We start from the raw sequence: 25062 nt of genomic DNA, 5'->3' as shown, positions 1-25062 counted from the left end.
CTCAGAATAATTCACTGCAATGTTCTTTGTTAAGTCTCTGCCACCTCATATTCCCCTCCCCATCTTCATGGAAGGGAGAAAAAGGAACAAGTGGTCCCTTGGGCATTGTAACCAAGCCAGCAGATGCTTCCAAAGGAAGGTAAGTGTCAGATGCTTAACTGCATGACTAAGTAAAACACATTATCTAACCAAGCTTCACTCCGAGGTAGCAAGTCCTATATTTTAGATAAGAAAAAAGGAAATGGGTGAAAATAATTTATTTAAAGACAGGCTGTGAGTTAGTGAGGGAGCAGGAAACAGCATCAAAGTCCTTTGGTTCACAGGCAGGGTCTTATCTGCCAGAAGAGCCAAGAGTGTGGCAGTGATGCTAAGAGACAGGGACCAAACAGCCGGGGGAGTACAGGAATAAGAGCTCCAGGAAACACTGGAAAAAGTCAATTAAACAACTCCCAAGGTCCCGGGTAGCTGTTCTAATGAGTGCCTGGGGGTTCTATGTTTCTGAAGAAGGTAATTCAAAATGAAATGAAAAGATGACTTTGGGACTCAATTCTGCATGTCTGATTTGGAAAAGCTAAGATAGAAAGGCAGAGAAGGAGCTGTAAGAAATACTGAACACATGGTACCAAGGAGAAAATATTCTGTGGGGAATAAACCTTCAAAAGCAACAGCAATAGCTACATTACTGAATGTACTGACAAACGAGTTGGCAGGAGCTGAGAGGTGAATGTTCTTTTATCTCTGACCATCATTGCAAGTGACAATTTCTTCTTGCTAGCAACCACCAGAATAGTCATCTTTGAGTTGCATGTGGAAAACATAGGTTATAATTGAGCAATGCCATGAAATATATTTTTCCCCTTATTCTGATATGATCTGACATCAACAGAAAGTAGAACCATGGCTAGGAGACTAAAGATTCAGGAAAAAAGACAGGCTATTATGTCACTTGGAGATGAAGGAACTGGTTGAAGCATTCATCTTAGTGTCTGCAATTGTCCTGCTGTGATGGAGTTGTCCACAGCCACTCAGGAGGCACGAGGCCGTCACCACCATCATTTGAGGTAAGGCCCAGGTCCCTCTTGAGCTGGGTTAGGATAATCACACCAGACAACCTTCCCAAGTCACAAGAGATATGAATAAATTAAGGAAGCAATCAAGATCTGCCGTTGGGTCATCAGGTTACAGAAAGAATCACTGGGACCAAGGTCGTAAGGTAAAGTGAATACAGCAAATAGGAAGTGAGATTTCACAAAGGAATTAAGCCACAGAATGCCAAACCAAAGCAAGGATATATAAGGTCAGAATCAAAAGTGGTGGCTGCAGTACCAGTGTTAGGCTCAGATTAGTAGGGCCATCGAAGACACTGAGCAAAGAGGAGATTGCCAGGAGGCCTTGATTGTGGGGCTTCCTCCTTACCTGGCCCCACACTGTAGGTTATGATGGTGACAAGGTGCCTGACACCTTGAAAAGTGGTGATTGTTGGGCAACACCTCAAGGCAGAGAGGCCCATCTCCTTAAAACTGTGGCCTGCGCTCGATCATCTCTATATGAATTTTACCATGATAAGGTTTTACTTAGACGTTTTCTTCTTTCTGCCACTATGGATGTTTTTTTGGTTTCTGCCCTTACTATCTATTGGTGTGTAATCAGATAGAAAAATGAACTTAAGAACTATTTTAACCAAAGCAAATCATAACGAAGAAGGTAAATCTGCTGCAGAAGAAAAATCCCTTAAAGTCAGTATCTTTACACTGTCTGATGCCTTGGCTAAATACAGCCAAAGTTATTCCTCCTGCAGTAGTTTATTAAGGCATAGGGTAAGTTCTAAAAGCCATGGGTTTGAGTGAAGTCAATTCAAACCCACTGCTTTTCTCTAACTCAAGCTGGGAAAGTTGGCTCCTTTGCCTTGGCCTGAAGACTGAACATTGTACGTACCAAATTACTGCAGAATGAAGGTCTCAGTTGACTTGCAACTTGAACCTGACTCCATGGGTCACTGGTTCTTACATAATCAGGAAATAAAAAGACTCTAAATTATCTATCAAGAGAAAGCTGGGTCGATGTTTACAGACTGATGGATTAATATGTGACAACCACCATTAGGTATGCCTACTACGCAGAAGAACATGAAGAAATGATGTTGGGGATACATTAAAACATTACCCCATCTTTAAGTTATGTATTACATTTTATCAAAGTTGTAGACTTTTCATTGAATAAGGATGATAACCAAATGATCACAGCAGGTATGTTTCCAATAATACCAAAAGTCTTGAGGCCTGATACTGGAAAGATAATTAGAAACAGAATCTGTTTAGGGTAAGGTTTCTCTAGCTTGGCAATACTGAGATTTTGCATTCAATAATTTTTTGTGTGTGTGTGTGAGGGGCTGTCATGTGCATTGTAGGATGTTTAGCTGCATCACTGACCTCTACCCATTAGATGCCAGTAGCAAATCCCCACCCCCTCAGTCATAACAATCAAAAATGTCTCCAGGCATTGCCAAACGTCCCCTGAGGTGCAAAATTGCTCCAGTGGTTGAGAACCACCGGCCTAGAGATATTTTCTCCTTAATATCCCACAATAAATATATATATACGCTACAGTAAAAGGAACCGAGACAGGACAGAAAAGGTTCTAGTACTGATTATTACATGTGGTTTAGGACATTTAAAAATGTATGCTGACATGCTGACAGCAAAAGTATACTCACTGTGTACAAGAAAACAAAAATCTTTCCACATCAGCAGCAGAGTGAGTTTTGTAAAGCCTTCTGCATCATATTCCACGACACCTCTAAGTAATAAAAACATACACACACAAACAAAAAAAACCCTCATAAAATTAAGGTATAAAAGCAATAAAACCAAGTAAAGAATATATTCGTGAAGTCAGGGTTATTGACTTTGAGATGGGTTTAAGGCAAGTGAGGATTAATGCAGGAAGGGCCTGGGGTTTGGAATGACAGTATCTAGGTTTAAGTCACAGCTTTGCCATTGACTATCTACTATGACCTCAGGCAAATCACTTAACCTTTGCAGCCTCAGTTTCCTTACCTGCAAAACAAGTATAAAAATATTTGCAAAATTCATTACAGGGTTGTGAAAAACAAATAAGATAAATCATAAAATACTATACAAATGTGAGTTATTACATTAATTATGAGTAGAAGGACATATTAAGAAATCAAGTCAGCAATGACACTACAATGCCAAATGTCAGCATACTACCTGTACAGTGATTGTTAAGTCTGACTTTCACTGGGCACTACATAGTAATATGCAATGACAGTATTACTAAATTTAGTATTATATATTACTTTTCTTCTTGAGCTGGGTTAGGGCAATCACACCAGACAACTGTGTCCCCTTTCACTGTGTTCCCCTGTCCTTCCCACTGGGCTTAAGGCAAAGTAGCAACACTAGATGGGTGGATGCTGGGTTCAGGAAGGGAGATGCATATTTCATGTGTCAAAAGAAAACATCCCCTGACCTCTGAATGGGCCAAGGCGCAATTCTGTAGCCTCAACTCATCCATTTCCCTCAAGAGCTGAGCGCCTGGAGGATGTCGCCATAATGTGACAATACTAACCACACTAAGGACAGATATAATTTTCTTTCTCATCCATACAAGGAGGACTCTGATGTCCTTAGAGATGCCTTATCCCTGACCAAACCAGGCCAATCAGACCACTGATATTGATGCCCGCCCAGTTTAAGTTGGAAGGAACAGTTATACCCCTTATAAAGGTAAAAGAACTAAGATACTGAAGGGTAAGTGATCTGCTAAAAAATGGTTGGTATATCATTCAGATCTTAAGTCGACAATTCTTTAGTTTATATTTCTATGAATTTATTTATTTTTTTTTTGAGACAGAGTCTCACCCTATTGCCCAAGCTGGAGTGCAGTGGTGCGATCTTGGCTCACTGCAACCTCTGCCTCCTAGGTTCAGGCAATTCTCCTGCCTCAGCCTTCCGAATAGCTGGGATTACAGGCACCTGCCACTATGCCCGGCTAATTTTTTTTTAATTTTTAAATTTTTTTGAGATGGAGTCTAGCTCTGTTGCCCAGGCTAGAGTATAGTGGCATGATCTCGGTTCACTGCAACCTCCGCCTCCCGGGTTCAAGAGATTCTCCTGCCTCAGCCTCCCAAGTAGCTGGGATTACAGGCACCCGCCACCACGCCCAGCTAATTTTTGTATTTTTAGTAGAGACGGGGTTTCACTGTGTTGGTCAGGCTGGTCTCGAACTCCTGACCTCATGATCCGCCCGCCTCGGCCTCCCAAAGTGCTGGGATTACAAGTGTGAGCCACTGTGCCTGGCCTCTCTATGAATTTATAATTAGCCCAATAATGTTATAGTGCTGATATCAATACTTTTCAGATCCTGCATCCCACAGGCAAAGACAAGTATATAGTCCTTTTTAGTATACTACTGTACTACATGCATAATAAAATGTACACAAAAAAGTACATTAAAAAAGTGAGACTTGAAAGCAAATGTCAATGTAATTTTCATATATTTCTTATACTTCAATAGAGTGAGCTGTGTAACTTCTGGGGTGTGTGTACTACATTTTGGAGGCCACTGTGCTAGCTTCTTCATGTTTAATTATATATACTAAAGATAATCTTACTTAAAAATAAGAAGATCAATGGTATTATTTATTAACCACTATTTGTATCAAAAGTACTTTCTCAAAATGTTCACAAAGCTGAAAAAAATCTTAAGTATTAAAGACTCATGTGAGAGGCAGTCATACTGTTTGGTTATTGACACTTCTATTTCGGAGAAATGAAAAATTCCATTATGGGAATGAGAAAAATGTCTTAAAATTGGTTTGAGGAGTCAGAAATTTTCTTATAATTGTGCCATGGTTTGAAAATTATATCCCAGAGGGTGACAAATCATTTTCTTGGTTTCATCTTCTCTCCCTATTCCTAATTTCCTTATTTAAAATTTTAATTTTGTATTACTAGATATATTTATATATTTATAAGCCTTCTGTGGAATAAGGTGGGCTATCATCAGACCTCTAAAATCCTTAGTGCCTCGTTAACGACAATGGGTAGAATGTTCTATCTTCTAAAGATCGTGAGGAAAATGCATTCCCTGTCTCACTGAGCAAAGCCTGAGAAGAAGCTTGATCAGGCCTCTGACTTACTTAAGGAAACAGGGCTGCAGGGCAGCACAGCCACAGGCAGCCAGAAGGAAAGGGCAAAGGCACAGGGATGGAGCAGCCAGAGGCGCCCATGGTGTCACAGGCTTCCCTCTCCCCTATCGGTGCTTGCTTTCAACTCCTAACCTCAAGTGCGAGCCACCGCTTTTGCATCGAATGCTGGATTTCCTGCCCGGATCTGTGTGGCACTGTTGGCAGTGGAGTCCTAGCAGGAGACCTGAGTGCTGGGGAAATGGGGTTCCTGCCCTGGCTCCACTTCTTCTAGGGGCGCGACTTCCATTGGGTTACTGAACTTACCGCAATTTCAGAGCTTCTTCAACAAAATGTGCCGGTGATGCCTGCCTGGTTCACCCCATGGCTACTGTGAGGGCATGGAGGTGAAAAGTGCTATGCAAATTGTAGAGAGTTCTACAAAAAGTGACCGTTACCACCATTACTACTGTTGAGTTCAGGGCTGTCCAGGCTGCTGCTCTAGGGAAGATATTTGATTCTACTATTTGCCAAAGAGTACCGAAAAAAAAAAAAAAAAAAAGGGATCCTGGGAGCTTTGGTATGAACAGCATACCAAAAAGGATCAAAGTGGCATTAAAAAGGTATCATGTGGGGCTGGGTGTGGTGGCTCACGCCTGTAATCCCAGCACTTTGGGAGGCCAAGGTGGGCGGATCACAAGGTCAGGAGTTTGAGACCAGCCTGGACAACATGGTGAAACCCCGTCTCTACTAAAAATACAAAAATTTGCTGGGTGTGGTGGCCCATGCCTATAATCCCAGCTACTCAGGAGACTGAGGCAGGAGAATCGCTTGAACTCGGGAAGTGGAGGTTGCAGTAAGCCAAGATCATGTCATTACACTCCAGCCTGGGTGACAGAGCGAGACTGTCTCAAAAAAAAAAAAGGTATCATGTGTAAGAACTAAGTGCTATTTTCTTAATCAAGCCCCCATGTTGAGGTCATCAGCAAGCGAGGGCATCACCGGTATATCGTTCAAACAGGGCAGAACTTACGTGCCAAAGTGACTGAGAAAAGCAGCAATATACTCTCTTCTTTTGTGATACCCTTGAATCACGTACTGCACCTGGAATAGAAACCCAAAGCTGAGAAGTAGAGTGGGAATCTTTTAAATGCTTTATTATAAGAAATTTCAAAGATTCAGAGAAGCAGAAAGAATAGTAAAGTGAACACCGGTATTCCCACTACCTACATTCAACAACTGTGACTATTGTGCCTACTTGCTTCCTCCAGCCATCCATCTATCTATCAACCTATCAATCAACACTTCAAAGGAAATGAGAGACATCATGACAGTTCACTCTTAAATATTTCAGTATGCATCTCTAAAAAATAAAACTTTCTTCTACATAACCACAATACCATTATTGTACCCAACAAATTTAGCAATTGGTCTCTGAATTCATCTAGTACCCTGTCCATTTTCAAAATTTCCTAATTGTCCCCAAAATGTTTATTTTTATTTTTTAATTCAAAAGAATTAAAATAAATGGGTTTTTTTTGTTTTTTTTTTTTTTTGAGACAGAGTCTCGCTCTTGTTGCCCAGGCTGGAGTGCAATGGCGCGATCTTAGCTCACTGCAACCTCCACCTCCTGGGTTCAAGTGATTCTCCTCCCTCAGCCTCCCAAGTAGCTGGGATTATAGGAGTCCGCCACTATGCCCTGCTAATTTTTGTATTTTTAGTAGAGACGAGGTTTCACCATGTTGGGCAGGCTGGTCTCGAACTCCTGACTTCAGATGATCAGCCTGCCTCAGCCTCCCAAAGTCCTAGGATTACAGGTGTGAGCCACTGAGCCTGGCCCAAAATGTTTTTTAAAAAACAATGTATGATTAAGGATCAGCCATTTGTTTTTAATGCCTTTTAAGTTTCTAAATCTATAATAAATAGTGCCTCCTTGAGTGTGTGTATGTGTGTGTGCCTGCATGCACATATATGACACTAATTTTTCAAATAAATTGGGCTATGTCCAGATGTGGAATCTCACTCATATAATCCCAGTATTTTGGGAGTCTGAAGCAGGAGGATTACTTCAGGCCAGGAATTCAAGACCAGCCTCAGCAACACAGCCAGACCTCATCTCTACAAAAAATAAAAGAAATATTAGCTGGGTATGGTGATATGCACCTATAGCCCTAGCTACTCGGGAGCCTGAGGCAGGAGGAATGCTTGAGCCCAGGAGTTCAAGGCTGCATTGAGCTTAGAAGGCATCACTGCACCCCAGCCTGGGCGACCTCATCTCTTTAAAAGAGCAAGATCTTATCTCTTAAAAAAAAAAAAAGAAAAAAGAAAACAAATTGTGCTAGTAGTCTTGTAGAACGTCTCAATTCTGTTTTCTTTCTTTTTCCTTTACTCTCTGTATTTCCAATAAATTAGAAATTAGAGCTAAAGGGTGATTAGGTCCAGGTTGAACATTTTTGGCAAGAAAACTTCCTAGATGATACTGGGCCTGATCACTTGGCTAAGGTGACAACAGCCAGACCCCTCCAATGGAAGGGAATGCTCCCTCTGCCACAGTGAATAGTCTATGGACATACCCTCTGAAGCAGCGGAAAACCTAGTTTCCCATCAACCTTTCACCTAATGGTTTTAGTATTTACTGGAGATCCTTGTCTGAATCAATGATTTCATTAGGGACTGCAAAATGATGATTTTTGAATCCCATCATTCCTTTTGCATACATCAGCTGACATACTCTGTAAAGAGCTTTCTCTCATCAAATGGGGTTATTTGGTTATCTTGAGCTCCTATTAAAAAAGGCAGAATAATACTTCTCTCATTTTAAAATTCTGATATTCAGAATAAGGAGTATTACAATAGGAGATTTTATTTTGCTTTGCCTTTTTATATTTCCTCATTATCACCCAATGACAGTTTCTATAAAAAAATTGCAAACTCATTAAGCTAGGCATCTGAAAGTTAGTCATTTACCCACCAGCTTCTAACACGAAAACACATTCCTTATAATGTTCTCATGATGGCTGGAAGAAACAGTGGGAAGGAGAGACCCCCAAAATTGTTTATATTGGCTATAGCCACACTGAGTTTCCATGGCTAACAAAAGCTCAAGATAAAGTGCTTGAAATAACCTTGACACAATTGGTACTGATAGCCATGTTGAACCCTTTAAATGTAAAACAATTCTATTTATATAATAGGGGTTTATGTCAATTTATAAAAACAGTGCTTACTTTGCAGGCTTAATGCGGGATCAGAAATGTTATTTTGAGAAAAGAAAAACAGATGATAAGTTTGCTTAAGTGGCTTTGTTTAAAAAGGGGATGAAAACAGTTCTGTATACTTGATTTTAAAAACAGAAAACCATTTTAACAGAAACCCACAACAAAACTGGCTATAAAGATAGATTCCAATATAATTATGGAAATTCATTTGAAGAGATTGTTTCTAAAAGCAGCCCATACTGTCCTCATTTGTAGCAAACAGAAGAACATCAATTTCAAAAGACAAGTAAAATTAATGAAAGGAAACCAGATAAGAAAAATTGACTGATTCTTATATTTCTGGGAAAACGGTGTTATAATTTTTTTTTGAGGAAAATGTATGACTAGAAATTAATCTCAATTGGAGAGCTTTAAAAAGGCTTTTCTTCTCCGTTCTAGAAGACCAAATTTGCATGTTTCTCTATAATTCTGGGACACAGATTTGAAGGCAGTGCAAAGCCCCAGAATGTAAATAAGAATTCTGTCCTCCGATCAGTTTTGCAGGAGGGCAGAGGCTGGGGAGATTTGGTCTGATGAGAAGCAACCCCTGCATGAGGGTTAAAGCCTGGAATCTGTGCCAGGCCCACAGACGGTGGAGTTGCTAGATTTTAGTTTCTCTGACATTTGAAAAATAATACTGAAGCTCTTGAAATATTATTGTACTTTTAAACTATTTTCTATATAGAAGTGAGCTATCTTTTGAGTGAAAGAGACAAACAAAAGATCTATTTTTCCAAGCCAATGTGAACAAGTCAACAGGAGCAAAGAAATTGCACTCTGGCAACTAAACAAACTGAGTCACAGTCCATGTGGGAGAAGAAAGAGAGTCAGCATTGTTTGTGCATCAGTATCACTAGTTTTCAGCTAAATATACTAGCTGGACATTAACAAGTATATTCTTACACTTTTTGGAAATATCTAACAATAACCGTTAGACTCAGCTACTTGCTAATGAAATGGCTCATTGATGTAGCTAAGAGAAGCTTTAGATCATCTGACTGAGTATAAGACCAGCTGACTGGCTGGGCGCGGTGGCTCACGCCTGTAATCCCAGCACTTTGGGAGGCTGAGGTAGGCAGATCATCTGAAGTCAGGAGTTTGAGACTAGCCTGGCCAACATGGTGAACCCTCATCTCTACTAAAAATATAAAAATTAGCCAGGCCTGGTGGCGGGTGTCTGTAATCCCAGCTACTCAGGAGGCTGAGGCAGGAGAATCGCTTGAACCCGGGAGGAGGTTGCGGTCAGCCGAGATCGCGCCACTACATTCCAGCCCAGGCGACAGAGTGAGACTCTGTCTCAAAAAAAATAAAAATAAAAAGACCAGCTGACTTGGGAATCTTACCCCTAGGCACAGGACTCTGGTGAACTGCTCCCAGATATGACGGGAAGAATCAAAGGCTGACTATTAAAAAGTAAGGTACAGAAACACAGAGAGGGATGAAGGTAGTTTTAAACAATTACGCGGATACCAACTACTGCCAAACACATGCACACACGTGTGCATGCACTGGATAATTGGGAAGCAATGGGGTTCCAAAGTTTTAAAGTTTAAGAAGGTGCAAGATCTGGCAAAAACTGGGTAAAGGAAATTCAAGAAAGACGTGACTTAAATCCCAGACATAAAGTTAAGAGATGAAGATAAGACTGGAAAAGGAGGTCAGAATCCTTAGAAAAGGAAGAAGGAGGGCAAAGAAATGGGGAGAGAAACAGATTAACTGTAATTCACAGTAGGAAGGGCAGGTGTCAGATGGAGGCTGAAACTGAGCAGTCGGTCCGAGAAGGATGGAGCATGCACGATGATTTTGGGTACGTGGTGGACTGGAGGAAGAAATCTCATAAGAGGGATGAGTTGGGGACTTGCTTTTACCTTGTTGGTGAGCAGGTGGCATACTTGAGGAACGTAATCAATGAGACATCCTCCTCCTGGAAAAGCTGGGATATGAAGAGCTGAGGAGCCTCCAAGTGCACTGAAAGGACAAGAGTACAATGGACACTTCTCTTAGGGCTCAAGCAACTTAAGAAGTGACACCCCCAAGCAGACTTGGCTTCTCTCATCAAAGTCTGGCCACCAACTGCCTAGGTTAATGATGATGGGTATATGGGCTTCACTTTATGATTACATTTCTGTATTTTAATTCATTTAAATAAATTAGCATGTTTGCATTATACATCATTGATAACACACAACAGTACAAATTAGAAAATTTTGATTGGCATGGGTAAATGTCTTACCAACATTAATGGGCTGTAAGTATTACTGAAACATATTTTTATACTCTTCATTATGCCCAATTCTTTGCTGGGCACAGATAAGTTATTCATTAAACATTGAAACTGAACTAAAATGAATTGCTGCAACACTCTAGTTCTACAGCTTATCGGCCATTATCTTGTATTTCAAAAGGTATACAAGAAGCTGCAGTCAATAATCACTGATCCAAGCACTAAGACACAATGTTGATTCTGAAATAATTTCCACAACTTTCAGAAATTCCTTCTTTCAGGCCAGGCATGGTGGCTCACGCCTGTAATCCCAGCACTTTGGGAGGCCAAGGCAGGAGGATCACTTGAGGTCAGGAGTTTGAGACCAGCCTGGCTAACATGATGAAACCCTGTCTCTACTAAAAATACAAAGATTAGCTGGGTGTGTGGTGGTGGGCACCTGTAATCCCAGCTACTCAGGAGGCTGAGGCATGAGAATTGCTTGAACCTGGGAGGCGGAGATTGCAGTGAGCCAAGATCACACCACTGCACTCCAGCACGGGCGATACAGTGAGACTCGGTCTCAAAAAAAAAAGAAAAAAGAAAAAAAGAAAAAAAAAAAGAAATTCTTTTTTTCAGTTTAAATGAACCAGCACACAATTATTAAAAGAAATTGTTCAGAACTTTAAGGCGTACATTTCATTTATCACCCTTCATCTTGACTTCATCTTCTTTCCTATGCTCACTTTCCTTTTGCCTTAGTTTGTTTTTCTTAATTTCATTTTAATGCATATACTTCTATAAGCCCCCTAAACCCTCTCTGTAATATGATGGGATATTTTTAAAAATCCCTAAAATCCCTTAATGTTGTGATTACTTCTTAATGTTGTGATTATTTATTTATAATGTTGGATTATTATCCAAGACCCTGCAGTTACAAGGTTGTAAGTGGAAGAAAAAGGTGTGACAATAACTGCCTAGAAAATCATTTCTAAAGAGTTCAGGGTAGCCGGCTGCAGTGGCTCATGACTATAATCCCAGCACTTTGGGAGGCTGAGGTTGGCAAATCACTTGAGTCTAGGAGTTCAAGACCAGCTTGGGCAACATAGGAAGACTTCGTCTCTACAAAAAAAAAAATTAAAAAATTAGCCAGGCATGGTGGTGCACACCTGTAGCCTTAGCTACTCAGGAAACTGAGGTGGGAGATCACTTGAACTTGGAGGCAGAGGTTGCAGTGAGCCGAGATCGTGCCTCTGTACCCTAGCCTGGGCGACAGAGTGAGACCCTGTCTCAAAACAAACAAACAAACAAACAAACAAAAAAAGAGTTTAGGGCACTTTGACTCAGTCTAGGGTTTGTGATACAGGGAGTATGTATGTGAATGTGCACATATATGTATAAAACACTACTAAAAGGACTCCAAACCCATCCTGTCTCCCTATTGACTACAGGTTTCTGAAATTAATTTTCCTGGTAAAAATAAATTTTGTGGGGCTGGGCGTGGTGGCTCACACCTGTAATCCCAGCACTTTGGGAGGCTGAGGGGGGCGGATCACAAGGTCAAGAGATCGAGACCATTCTGGCCAACATGGTGAAACCCTGTCTCTACTAAAAATAGAAAAATTAGCTGGGCGTGGTGGCATGCGCCTGTAATCCCAGCTACTTGGGAGGCTGAGGCAGGAAAATTGCTTGCACCCAAGGAGGTAGAGGTTGCAGTGAGCAGAGATCGTGACACTGCACTCCAGCCCGGGCGATAAAAGTGAGACTCCATCTCAAAATAAATAAATAAATAAATTTTGTGTTTGCTCATGCAAATAAAAAGTCTAAATGAACAAAATCTCGAGTGACACAAGGAAGTCAATGTGGAGTGGAAATATTCAGTATTGACTTTTTCTACTCAGATGTTACCTAAAAGCACAACTCTGACAGCTGAGAAAATTATAAGACAGTGTTTGACTAAGTATGACATTAATGAATCATCTGCATTCTGCAACTGCACAGAATCAGCAAGGCCATCATTTCCTTTTGCTACGCTTAGAGTAGGCATTGGATTAGATTTAGCCTAAACTCTAAAGATGGCTAGGAAAATTCCTGTGACTTCCTATAAACAAGAGGAAGGCTTTTTGTCTCCTCTTTGTGTATGCACAAATAACACAGAAGGCACACATCTAACCAGAAGGTTCTAATGATTTCATAAGGATAGAAAGCTGATTAAGAAAAAAATAATCCACAGTGCAAGAAAAATAAATACAATATTTATGTCCTGTAGGTACAGGTTGAATATCTGTATAACATACAGAATGGCAAGATCCAAGCTACTCATCGCTCACTTAGAGAAACAATCCTTGGCATAATAAAATTCTGAAAAAGAAAATAAGCTGGATGCTTCCCTGGAGTTGACAGTAATAGGCTTTGACTTATATAAAATATTACAAGAGAAGTCTTTAATCAGTCATTAAATTATATACATGGAAGGAAAACAGTCTGAGTAATCCTTTAAACTTGAAACCCTCTCCCTCTCTCTGCTTGGATTGTGTCATTCCGAAATACAGCCGTTAGACAAAAATTACCTGTAATGATGGAGAAAAGCAGAGGTGTGAAGAGATCCAAAGGCCAGGTGTTCTGCTGCCAGGCCCATGTTTCCGCACCCTGCTTCGGTCACTACCAAGAACTAACACATGTTGCTAGGTGCTTTATCACATTATCTAATTAAATGCTCTCCATAGTTCAAAGAGGTGGGAAGTATCGCTGTAATTTTACATGTGAAAAAAACGAGGCTCAGAGAACAGAAAATACTGCCTAGGTTCACACAACTAGACATAGGTAAAACCAAGATCTGAACACAGGTTTGCCTGTCACCGGAGTTCAGGCTGTTTCTGCTGAAATATGTTACCTCCCTGAGAGGAGGGGGATTTTAATCATGGAAGACTACAGGGATGGGAAGAAACAGTAGGTCTGGCTATCAGGGAGCCAGGCCAGCATCCCAAATGATGAGGGGCTCCTAGAGGCTTCAGACCGTCACCAAAGTAGACACTGTGATGTACGGCTCATCTCCGTTTACAATTTCCCACACAGCAGCAAGCAGGAACTCCTCTTAATTTTGTTCATACCTCAGTACTCTCCCACCCCAACCACCAAACAATCAGATTCATTTGATCTCAAATGTGATGGACCAGACACTCTGGCAGGTCTGATTCTGAATGACTTGGTTGGCTGTCTGGGGTGAGCCTCAACAGGTGCAAAGCACTTTAGGCACTACGAAAGATAGTTTTAACTGAGAGTTTATTTTTTAAAGGACGTCATTTCACCCTTTATTTAACCCAGTAGTTTCTTAGCTTGTAAGCGTCCAAAATCTACATCCAGTGTCACACACTGATAAGTGCTGCTGATTCATGTATAAATATCAGCCTCATGGGTAAATATTTAACAAGCTTGCTATAGCCTGAATGCTGCCCTGATCATGCTGAATAAACTAAGTAAAGTGCCATGAAATAAAAGAGTCATTATGTTTTCAGAGGGTGCAAGATGGTGGTAAGGCCTTGTGATCTCTAATTCTTTAATATTCATGAATCAAAAAATATTGGGCTGAGCATGTACAACAGGAAACTCACCCTGTGCAGAGATTCCAGGGCTCACTCAAGACATTCCCGGGACTGCAGGGCTGGCTGAAGAGAAGGCAGGGCCTGACTAACCCACTAAGTGGCTGGGGAAGAATTATGAGGAGATGAAAGGGACCACTTGGCACTGATACTTCTGATCCCCAGAGTGGTGCGGGGAGGAAGCGGGTGAGAAGGAAATCCGTGTGGCAAGGGCTCAGGCTTAACCTGGGAGGAGAAAAGGGTGATAGGGCTGTTCTGATGAGAAGGTACCTTCTCTCTCTTCATGGAATAAAATAAAACATGAAATTAGTTGATCATTCTTAGAACTGAAACTTAATCTGTGGATATAAATTAGAAGGATGAGGCCAGAGTTTTAAAATCTTTTCCAGTGGTAGGGGTAATTAAATAGATGAAAATGAAACCAGAAAAGCATTTCCAGGTCAGTCTTGTTGGCTCTAAAACTCAAATGTAAGAACTGTCTATACTGAATGTATTAATACTAGTCTTTTCCATGCAAATGAAACTAATAGAGCCCTTTGTGAACTTCGGTCTGTCTGCAAATTATCACATCTCTCATGCAGTCATGAGCCACATGCAACATTTCAGTTAATGATGGACCCCATATATGACAGTGGTCCCATAAGATTACAATACCGTATGTTTACTGTCCTTTTCCTATGTTTAGATATGTTTAGACACACAAATACTTACCATTGTGTTACAATTGCCTGTAGTATTCAGTATAGTAACATGCTGTGTATGTTTGTAGCCTAGAAGCAATAAGCTCACCAGATAGCCTAGGCGTGTAGTAGGCTCTACTATCTACCTAGGTTTGGGTTGGTACATTCTATGATGTTTGCACAACGACAATACTGCTTAATGACACATTTCTCAGAACGTGTCCTGGCCATTAAGCAATGCATGACTGTATTGAAGACTTAACTTGGCTGCAACGTGACGGCATAAAGGAATTGTTTTTATTTTGACTTAGAAAAATGCAGGGAGTCAGCCTGTCTGAAAGCTTGGCTTGGGACAATGGGGTTTTGATTCTGACCCATTATGAAACAGCAACTCCCCTTCCTCCCACGTGGGGTTTTACCTTACTGGTCAAGTAAAATGAGCAAAACATAATTTAGACTGGAGAAAATCAGAAGGGCTAGTGATTCGCAATCATAATTCTTGCTTCTATCAAGTTTTCTTTCTTTGGTTCTACTCAACTTTCTCACCAGTTCAGTGGGATAGCACCACTCTCAAAGACACCTGACCAGGCACAGTGGCTTGGGCCTGTAATCCTAGCACTTTGGGAGGCTGAGGCAGGATGACTGCTCCGGGCCAGGAGTTTGAGACCAGCCTGGGCAACATAGCGAGATCCCATCTCTAAAAAAATTAAAAATTAGCCAGGCATGATCGTATGTGCCTATAGTCCCAGCTACTCAGGAGCCTGAGGCAAGAGGATCAGTTGAGGCCAGGAGTTGGAGGTTACAATGTGCCATGCTTATACCACTGCACTCTAGCCTGGGTGACTGATTGGGACTCTGTCTCTTAAAAAAAAAAAAAAAAAAAAAAAAAAAAAAAAAAAAAAGACATCTCTCTCAAAGCATTAGAATGGTTAGAGTACCAATTAGAGTTACATTAACACAAAAATAGCACCAAGCACTCCAAGAGAGACTTTACTCTAAAAGTCTTCTCTGTCCAAGGGTCATGACAAGGCGTTGTCAGAGACATTTGGGTCAGCCTTAGCATCCTGCTTTTGCCCCTGAATTGGGTTCTGAGGGAGAGGAAGTTGACCTGGCTGCCTCCTCCACAGTATGATTCAGGAGCCGTTGGAAGTTGAAGCATGGAAAGGGGAACATCCAGGATGTAGAAACAAGCAGCCTGCAGACTCCAAGCTAAGAGAAATCCTAAAGCAATGTGTGCTGCCTTCAATCCAATTCAACAAACACTAACTGTATGCCTAACTATGTCTAAGGACTTGAGTTTCCCATTCTGAACACACGACTAGGGTACCAACGATAAGTCCTTCCAAAGTAGAGGAATGCCAGGGACCTCAAGAATCTGGGGCACTCTGTAATACTAGATTATGTTTCCTGGTGGCCTGCCAGCAGAGCCATTACCATGAAACAACTCACTGTTATTTATTGAGCTCCCACTTTTGCCAGACACTCTACTGGGCATTTTGTGATCTCTAAACCTCACAACAACCCTGCCGTGTAGACCTAATTAGCCCCATTTACAGATGAGAAAACTGACATTCTAAGAGTCTAAGTATCTTATCCAAGATAACCCAGCAAGTAAGTTGTAGAGGTGGGCTTAAACCCAGGTCTTTCTGGTTCCAAAGTCTATGTCCTTTTTCATTAGGAATTCTTTCACAGAAAGATGAAGTAGAATTTTTAAAAGTCTAATCCCTACCAATATACTGAAATAGTAGAATAAGTGATTAAAATCGTCTTCAAAGCTTTTATACATAAAATTAATCACCTTGTCATCTCACTTTTTATCATCTTAAAGATACCATATGTCACAACAAAGTAACCTGGTGGGACTAAAAAAAAATCATTCATAGTTCTGAAAACCCAGAAGAACATAAATATTAAATTAAGGAGAGGCTCCAGTTTTGTTTTCTTACTTTCTTCTTCTTTTTTTTTTTTTCCTGAGACAGGGTCTTGCTCTGTTGTCTGTGTGGTGGCGTGATCACGGCTCACTGCAGCCTCAACTTCCCAGGCTCAGGTGATCCTCCCAGCTCAGCCTCCTGAGTAGCTGGAACCACAGATGTGCACCAACATGCCTGGCTAATTTTTTTTTTTTTTGTATTTTTAGTAGGGAAGGAGTTTCACCATGTTGTCCAGGCTGGTCTCGAACTCCTAGGCTCAAGTGATCTGCTGCCTTGGCCTCCCAAAGTGCTGGGTTTACAGGCGTGAGCCATCACGCCCGGACTTGTTCTGTTTTCTAGCTAAATCTTTTTTTTCTAGCAAAGCATTTTCTAGACCTGTTGTTAGCTCTCAACTCATTTTATAGATTCAACTTTGAGCCATCTCAAGAGTGTCAGTCCTTCAGTTAAACAAAATCAGGGTGTAATTCAATATGGAGAAAATTTAAGTGAGTACAATAGGACAAGAAAATAAAAGGAGATCAGAAAGACGAGTTAAGTACACCAGTGGAAGAAAATCTGGGTATTCACATGGAATCAGAGGCTCATGGAAGCATCAATTCAGACCTGGCTGTATTACATTTGTGACTAATCTAATATTTCTACTAAACACACTTTATAGCTGTAAGTAAGGACTCTGTGAGAGTACTGTATTCCACTTTTTGTTTCTCACTTTTAAAGGGACATATAAAAATGGAAATGTTGAGACAATGACAACTATGATTAAGCACTCAGAAAACATTCCTCCTTGGAGCAAAGTCTAAAAAAGTTGAAATGGCTAAGTTAAATAACTTTAAAAATACACCATTATTAAATGGAGTAATTAAAAATATGGGCCGGGTGCAGTGGCTCATGCCTGTAATCCCAGCACTTTGGGAGGCCAAGGCAGGTGGACCACTTGAGATCAGGAGTTTGAGACCAGCCTGGTCAACATGGTGAAACCCCGTCTCTACTAAAAATACAAAAACTAGCCAGGTGTGTGGTGGTGCACACCTGTAGTTCCAGCTACTTGGGAGGCTGAGGCAGAAGAATCACTTGAACCTGGGAGGCAGAGGTTGCAGTGAGATGAGATTGTGCCACTGTACTCCAGCTTGGGTGACAGAGCAAGACTCTGTCTCAAAAAAAAAAAAAGAAAAAAAGAAGGCATACTACTATATGGATAATTTTGATCAGCTGTTCTCTGATGAGGCACAGTATAAATGAGAAGAGTTTAAAAGGCATTAAGAGGAATTTAGTTGGTAAATGAATTCTCCACAGAACAGAGTAGTGAATAATAACTCCATTTACTAAGCACTAATGCATCATGTCCTGTATTAAGTGCTTTTCCTCTATGATATCATCTATTCTTCATATCAACCTATGAGAGAAGTGTTATCCCATCTTACAGATGAGAGCACGGGAACTTCAGAGAAGCTATAGAACCTCTCTAAGGTCATATAGGTGGTAAATGACAAAGAGGCATCGAACTCCAGGTTTCTCTCACTTAAATCTACCCCACTCTTAGGTCTCTGGTTATCACTTTTGTGACTTCTATGTCCTTATCTGCATACTTGACATCTGGTTCCACATGTGACTTGGGTGTTTTAGTAGATGCCTGGGCTGGCCAAGTCCTTGAGGGTGTTTCCAGGAATATTTATTAAACTTATTTTGGTACCTGAACTGAAGTGATTAGTTCAGGGCCAGAGGACTTGATGGACACTTTCCAGTAGAAAGAAGGTGGAATGCAAGCAAAGAACTTTACATTTAAAAAATATGAAAGATGAGACTATTGTAATTGCAAACAGAGTATGTCTAATGGCATGAACCCTAACCAAGTCTTTGTTCAGAAATGTGTTTTGTAAGTTTGTTAACATCTCAAACAAGCCTTTAAGAGGGCAGTAATCTTAACAGATGTCCACCATCAGGATTTTCTTAGCATGTGGAAAAGTATTTTAAGTAAGCCCCCCAAAACAATAACAGACTTAGCAGATGTTGTTCTACTAAGAGTTGGTATGAACTACTTGTAATGATGCCCAGTCACTCAAGACACGAAAAGGGTAAGGGGAAGAAAAGTTTTTTTTTTCTCTTGTTGCATCTTGATTCCAGGCCTACTACCTGCTGTTGATTGCATTACAGTTTCTTTAAGAAGTGAAACTATTTTCAAAAGCCAGAGGTCAGGAGTGAGTGAATTTACTATGAGTTTGTTATAAAACTCCAATGAATGGCTTTACTGCTCTTAAATAGGTACAGATCACTTTTCCTATGAATTACCTTTAAAATATTTTCCCTGGAAAAAAAAACAGTGCATACAATAGTTATCCTAGACTAACCTACAAACATTTTTCTAACTCCTTCTTTCTCACTGCACACATGTTTTAATGATGGTCCAAGAAAGATGTAGAGAACAAGAAAAAAGCCTTCTGCCTTTCCAGGACACAGAAGGGTATCTACCTGATTTCTATTACCTGGTATTTACTAAAAGTTCAGGCACATAAATAGCACTAGGTAACTTCACGTGCACATCACTGGTCTCTGTGTTCAAGAAGTCAATCTGTAGGTAGCTAAAGCTTGACCTCCACATGAAAATGAAAAGATACCAGAAGATGAGATTAGCACAGGTTTCCAAAGTGCTCCTTGCTTGAGTTTTTACAACACCTTTACAAAACAGGTAGCAAGTGTCAACATACTCATTGTAGAGAGAAGAAAGAAACCTGAGGCTTGAGATGGATGATTTGTCCAAGCTGGAAACAGTGAAACTGGAATTGTAATCTTTCTCTGTACCTGGAGTTTTCATATTTGCTTAAGAATAATCTGGAGGGGGTGGGAGGGCTTGTTAAAAACTCAGATACCCAGATCCCACCCCAAAGAAGGCAATTTACTAGGTTTATTCAGCAGGTCGGAGGTGAGACCTGGGAATGTGCATGCTAACCTGTTCCTTAGTGGATGCAGGTGGTCCTCACACCACAGTTTGAAAAAATACTGCTCTAGACCTCATGCAATGATGCACGGCCAGGGCTGGAATGGGAAGGGGTGTGGTCAATGCAAATGTGCCTCCCATCCCCGTGGCATGGGATCACTGACTACTTGAAAGGCACTGTGGACAACAGGAAGGTAAGGAAAACACAGGTCTGCTCTTAAGGCCTAGTATGGGAGATAAGACATTTATTGAAACTACCAGAAAAAAGGTGGTTTCTGCCAGATGTACACATGGGTAAAATGAGTGTGGTTATATTCAGGTAAACAGAAGGCAAGGCAAGGAAGCAGTCAAATCAAAACTGAGGCTGGAAGTAACGAGGACACAGACACTACTTAACAAGGCAGGGCAATGGATCCGAGGCCAGGTTCTCAATGTGGACAGCAGACCATGCGTCCTGCACCACACCGAGCAGCTTTTTGCCCATTGAGAAAGGCATATTTCATATTTCAGGCTGCCCAGGGTGCCTACTGGTGAGGGGTATCTACCTAGAGAGGAAGCAAGAACAGGGATAGATCCTGATGCGATGCCAATGGTGAACTGCAAAGGAAAGAAAACGTGAGGTTAAAAAAATAAAAAGTTCTGTTTAGTTGTAAAGTGAGAGATGTTCTGGAGATTAAAAAAAAAAATCTGGGCTTTGAGATTGAATCTCAGCCAGGTTCACTGCTGAAATTTCTCCTTTAAACTAACAAATTCTAAATGTTATCTGTCTGGCTCAGGCCTTTCTTGAACTCAGAACTTGTAACTCAACCTGCTCACAAGCAACCCTGCCCCCAAAACCTACTCCCATATCCACCTCATCTCAGAAAATGGCAGCTTCTATCTCTTGGTTCCCAGACCAAAAACCTCTGTCATTGCTGACTCCTTTCTCTCACACCCCATAGTCAATTGGCCTGGTTGGCCTAAGAGGCGCCCACTGAGAGCAGGGCTCAGAACCTACTGAACTTCTCACTGGGGCTAAAACCTCCCTGGATAAGCTGGGGCAATTTCACCTCAGGGCACTGGCCCAGTTCTCCTGCTGTTCTCTCTGCCTGGAACTCTTCCCAGCCATTTGCGGGGCGGGCTTCTTCACCTGCTTCAGGTCTTACTCAAATGTCAGCTTCTGAGTGAGGCTTCCTGAACCATCTATTTAAGATAAGCCCCTTCCATCTCTGGTACTTGGTCTTCTGTGTTGTCGTTTTCTCCGTGGCATAAGACATTCTACACGTATTCACTCATCATCTCCCCCCATGACTCCTCACTAGAATATAATCTCCTCCAGAATGAGGATCTGCCTCTGTTTTGTTCACTTTTATAACCTCATTATTCTTAGCAAGAATAATGCCAAGCATATTAGACACTTAAAAAATATTTGTAGTATTAAAGTCCAATGAATATAAAAAAGAGATGGAAGTCAAATTTCTAAATGAACATTAAAAGCCAATAAATGTATATATCTTTATGGAAATAGTCATTATGGAAAAGAAGAGTTTAACGGTCTTGGAAAGGGATTGGCAAACTTTTTCAGTAAAAGGCCAGGTAGTAAATATTGTCATCTTTGCATCCATAATGCCTGTATTGCAGCTACTTAGCTCTCCTGCTGAAGTGCAAAGGCAGCCGCAGATAATATGTAAATGAATGAGCACGGCTGTGTTCCAACAACATTTTGTTTATGGATACTAAAATTCAAGTTTCATGTAATTTTTACGAGTCATGAAACATTATTATTTAAATATTTTTCTAACCATTTAAAAAATGTAAAAGTCATTCTTAGCTGTGGGCTGGATTTGGCCAGGAGGTTTTAGTTTGCTGACTCTTGATCTAGGATTATAGAAATATTTGACAGTTCTACAGATGCTGAAAGTACGAAAAGTATCCAGGAAGAAATATAGGCAAACCCCACCCCCCTAGAATAGGTTATTAGCAAAAATGAAAAGAGGCCCTTTGGTCAAACTTCTTAGAAGCTATATTCCATCAGCAGGTAAACCACAGGAATTAGCTTTTTTCAGGCAAGGGTGAGGTGAGCATTAGGCAACTCGTGGACTGTGGGAGTTCTCACAACCATACTAGATTGTAACTGTGCAAGAGGGAGCTATTTATATGATTTTGAACGAAGCTTGAGGCATATTCTGGTGCTTTTTAACTTCTATGTTAGGTGAAAAAGCTGCCTACAAAAGCCTTCCTCCCACCCAAAATACTAGCTGTTAGTTGGTGACTGATCCTCAGAAATATTAACATGAATCATATATGCTCTTTTCACAGTGCAAAAAGAGATAATTTTAACACTCAGAAAATGTCATAAACCACACAATAGAGAAGCTATCCAGCCTTCAAATTGTAAATAAATAAAATCCTGTTCCTGCATGGAAGCCTCTTCCTCCTTTCGATTCTGATGCTTCCTCCTCTGGATTCTGATGCCTGCAGGGCTGGCTGGTGTTAACCGTGTTCAGTCTGATGCTGAAGGCAGCCTTTGCTCTCCATCCTTCCTCCCTGGCGCCCACCCTTGTTAGCCCGACTGTCTTTGGGAACCCATAGCACTCAGCCTTGCCCTTTCTCTAGCTGCTGCTCTTCTCACCTACAGACAGCTTGTGGCTGCCCTGTCTCTACTGCGATCAGCCCGGGTTGGCCTAAGCAGCACCAGCTGAGAGCAGGGCTCAGCCTTTATCCAGGCTTCAGGAAAGAACCCCTGAGTTAATTTTCTTCTTCCTACTTGGAGAAACAGGTATTTTTGTCTTTGATCCCTAAGCTCTGTTTTCTTTCTCTTGTTACTAAACAGTTCACTCCCTATCCACTCTCCTTTTTTTGCAACTTCATCATTTTTCCACATTGCACCGTTTGGCACAGGAGAAGGAAAGAACCACATCAAATAAAGGAATGCAACCACAAAAGCTGCCTTGAGAAACAGGGCCCCAGATTTTTTTTTTTTTTTTTTTTTTTGTCAATTTACCGTTTTTGGACTTGTTCTCCCATAATCAAATCCTCCCTATCGTGCTAACAATGTGGTGGTGTGTCAAAACATTGGAATTCTGCTTCAATCAGCAACCCAGAGCTTAATAGGAAAATGAAGCAACAAAATGTTGCTCTTACTGTTAACCTTAGGCTAGGCCTGTCCTTAGGATGGGGACTGTTTGCTTCTTTATGGTAAATGGGCCAAACGTTCAGTTTTGTGAGAGCTTGCATTGTCAGCAGAGGCCCACAGCAGTGTCTTGAGCACCATTCAGGCACGCTTCTAAAGCTCAAGTACCGCAAACTGAAGTACGAAGCATCCCACAATTTAGTAAGCCAGAGAAGAGTTAAGACTAAATTTGTTTGCAAAAATTTTAAAGACACATTCATTTTACTGGCAGCAAGTCAGGGGTCTGGCTCTATGACACTCATGTCTGCAGTTATCACAAAAGGGCTTGCGTGAAATTAAAGTGGTTGTTTTGTTTCTTGTTTTTAAATTAAAAATGTGTGCAATATGTAAACCATTTAGGGACAACAATAAGGTGCCACAATTCCAAACCAAAACATTTGCAAGTCACCACTCTATGTCCTCAGGGAGTATGTGATATAGTTAATGTTTCTAATATTCATCATCAATGAAAACATCAGTTACAGGTAGAGAATTTCTGATTTAGCAATTTTTTAATCTTTTGTGATTAACTGGGTAAATTAAACTGTTTGAAGGTAAGTATTTTTGTTGTTTTGGTTTGGTTCACATGGAGTCATGTGCCACTTTGGTTAATGTGGGAAATAGCCTCTTCTTCAACATCATCTGTTGCATATACAAGCAGTGAGTAGAAGTGTATCTGTCCCTGAACACCAAAGTAGTGTGACCTCCCTTCAGAGATTTCTCTTGGGGAGAGAGGAAGGGGTGGGAGGAGACATACCTTTTCTCCCACCCTTGTTCTAGCATAGCATATTGGAATCTCAGGGTGGAGAAATGTGTTATTTGAAAAGAAGGAAAAAAGCTCATAGCTGGTTCTGATATGGACTAAAAGGACAGACTACCTGACTGCCCCACCCCTGAGAAATGCTGTTTCAACCATACAGAAGGAATCTTCTATCCTCAGAAGTTAAAGACCTCAGTTAATAGGTAAAGTTGCTGCTCTTCTAATTTTGGCAACATTCAGCCTGGCCCCAGTTCTACCTTGAAGAGCCGAGTTATTGGTGTCATTCCAGTTGCCCATTGATCTTCCTGTCCCCTCTGGAGACCTCTACTCTCACTCCCACCACAGCTGCCCAATAAGCAGAGAGTACGATCAAGTCAAGGCGGTGAACAATGAAGGGAAGAAGGGCAGAGCCAGTTTAAGGGGCTGTAGGCAGGTGCTTGCTTGTAAGGACCCTCTCTCCTCCCCATTCTGCTGATGCAGCTCAGGTGCCAAGCCCGGGTGCCTGGCCCTGGTGCCAGCTACTGCCCCAGGAAATGTCCACAAAGGTGAGCATGGGGAGCAGGACACAGACACTGGATGGGGGCACTGTCCCCCTCTGCAGTGTGCTCCCCAAACCAGCTGGAAAGCAGGAGGAACCATTTTCTGGAGCAGACTGGGAAGAGGGAATTGAGGAGGCTATAAGTGTGGTTAGTGTTTTAACAAAAATAAGATATATTCAGTAGATTGCTATCATTTCAAAAACATTTGATCTTACTAAATATCCTGTTTACTTAATAACAGGGAAGTGGGAGTTCAGTTCTGTTAATATCCATCTGTGCAAAACTAGGAATCTATTTCTAAATAACATAATTTATTTACCTGCATCTTTTACTTTTAAAAAATATCCACTAATTTAAATACTATTTTTAGCCAATTCTCTAAAATAGATGATTCAAAACAGCCACAATAGTAACAAGGGCCCACACTTCCCCAGACAGAGTGCGGGGCGGGCCTGCGGGGAAGCAGGGCCAGGGTGCCTCATGGTCCAGGCTGCCTAGAACTCAGGGGAACCTGTACTGAGGCGCCTGATAACTCCAGAAGATGGATGTGTTTGCTTTCTTTAAACCAGTGACACAAGACACAACAGAAAGGGAAAGATTTAGTCAGGAAGAGAAGGGGTTCTGGGAACTGTAGACAAGGACAATGCCAATTTAATTGGCCAAATATAATTGAGGTTGGCCTAATAACTTTTTTGGAAACCACTTTCTTGGTTGCTTGAGAATTTGGATTGCTACTGTTTTCTTAAGGCTTCAAAACCAAAACACTAAACATGTACTAATAGAGCAGTATTAATAGCACAAAGGGGAATGCAAACATGACTTATGAGAAAAGTTGTATGGCTGGCCCATAGCTATTATCTC

At 41.1% G+C, this 25062-nt stretch overlaps 1 protein-coding gene across 14 annotated transcripts in view; it reads right to left on the bottom strand.

The window, feature by feature from the left end:
* Positions 1-25062, bottom strand: part of BABAM2 (BRISC and BRCA1 A complex member 2) — a 450193-nt gene that overhangs the window by 91326 nt on the left and 333805 nt on the right. For 13 of the 14 annotated variants that reach the window (NR_137438.2, NR_137440.2, NR_137439.2 and 10 more), the window contains 3 exons: positions 10275-10374; positions 6183-6253; positions 2714-2796 (listed from right to left, as the gene is read on the bottom strand). Coding sequence is in view for 10 of the 14 variants with exons in the window: in NM_001329112.1 (NP_001316041.1) it covers positions 2714-2796; positions 6183-6253; positions 10275-10374 (254 nt within the window). In the remaining 4 variants the exon portion in view is untranslated. The remainder of the gene's footprint in view (positions 1-2713; positions 2797-6182; positions 6254-10274; positions 10375-25062) is intronic. The other variant, NR_137437.2, reaches the window with a different exon arrangement.

This window comes from Homo sapiens, chromosome 2 (genome assembly GCF_000001405.40).
Source record: "Homo sapiens chromosome 2, GRCh38.p14 Primary Assembly".
Classification (NCBI taxonomy): domain Eukaryota; kingdom Metazoa; phylum Chordata; class Mammalia; order Primates; family Hominidae; genus Homo; species Homo sapiens.
This window is presented reverse-complemented; position numbering and strand designations above follow the sequence as displayed.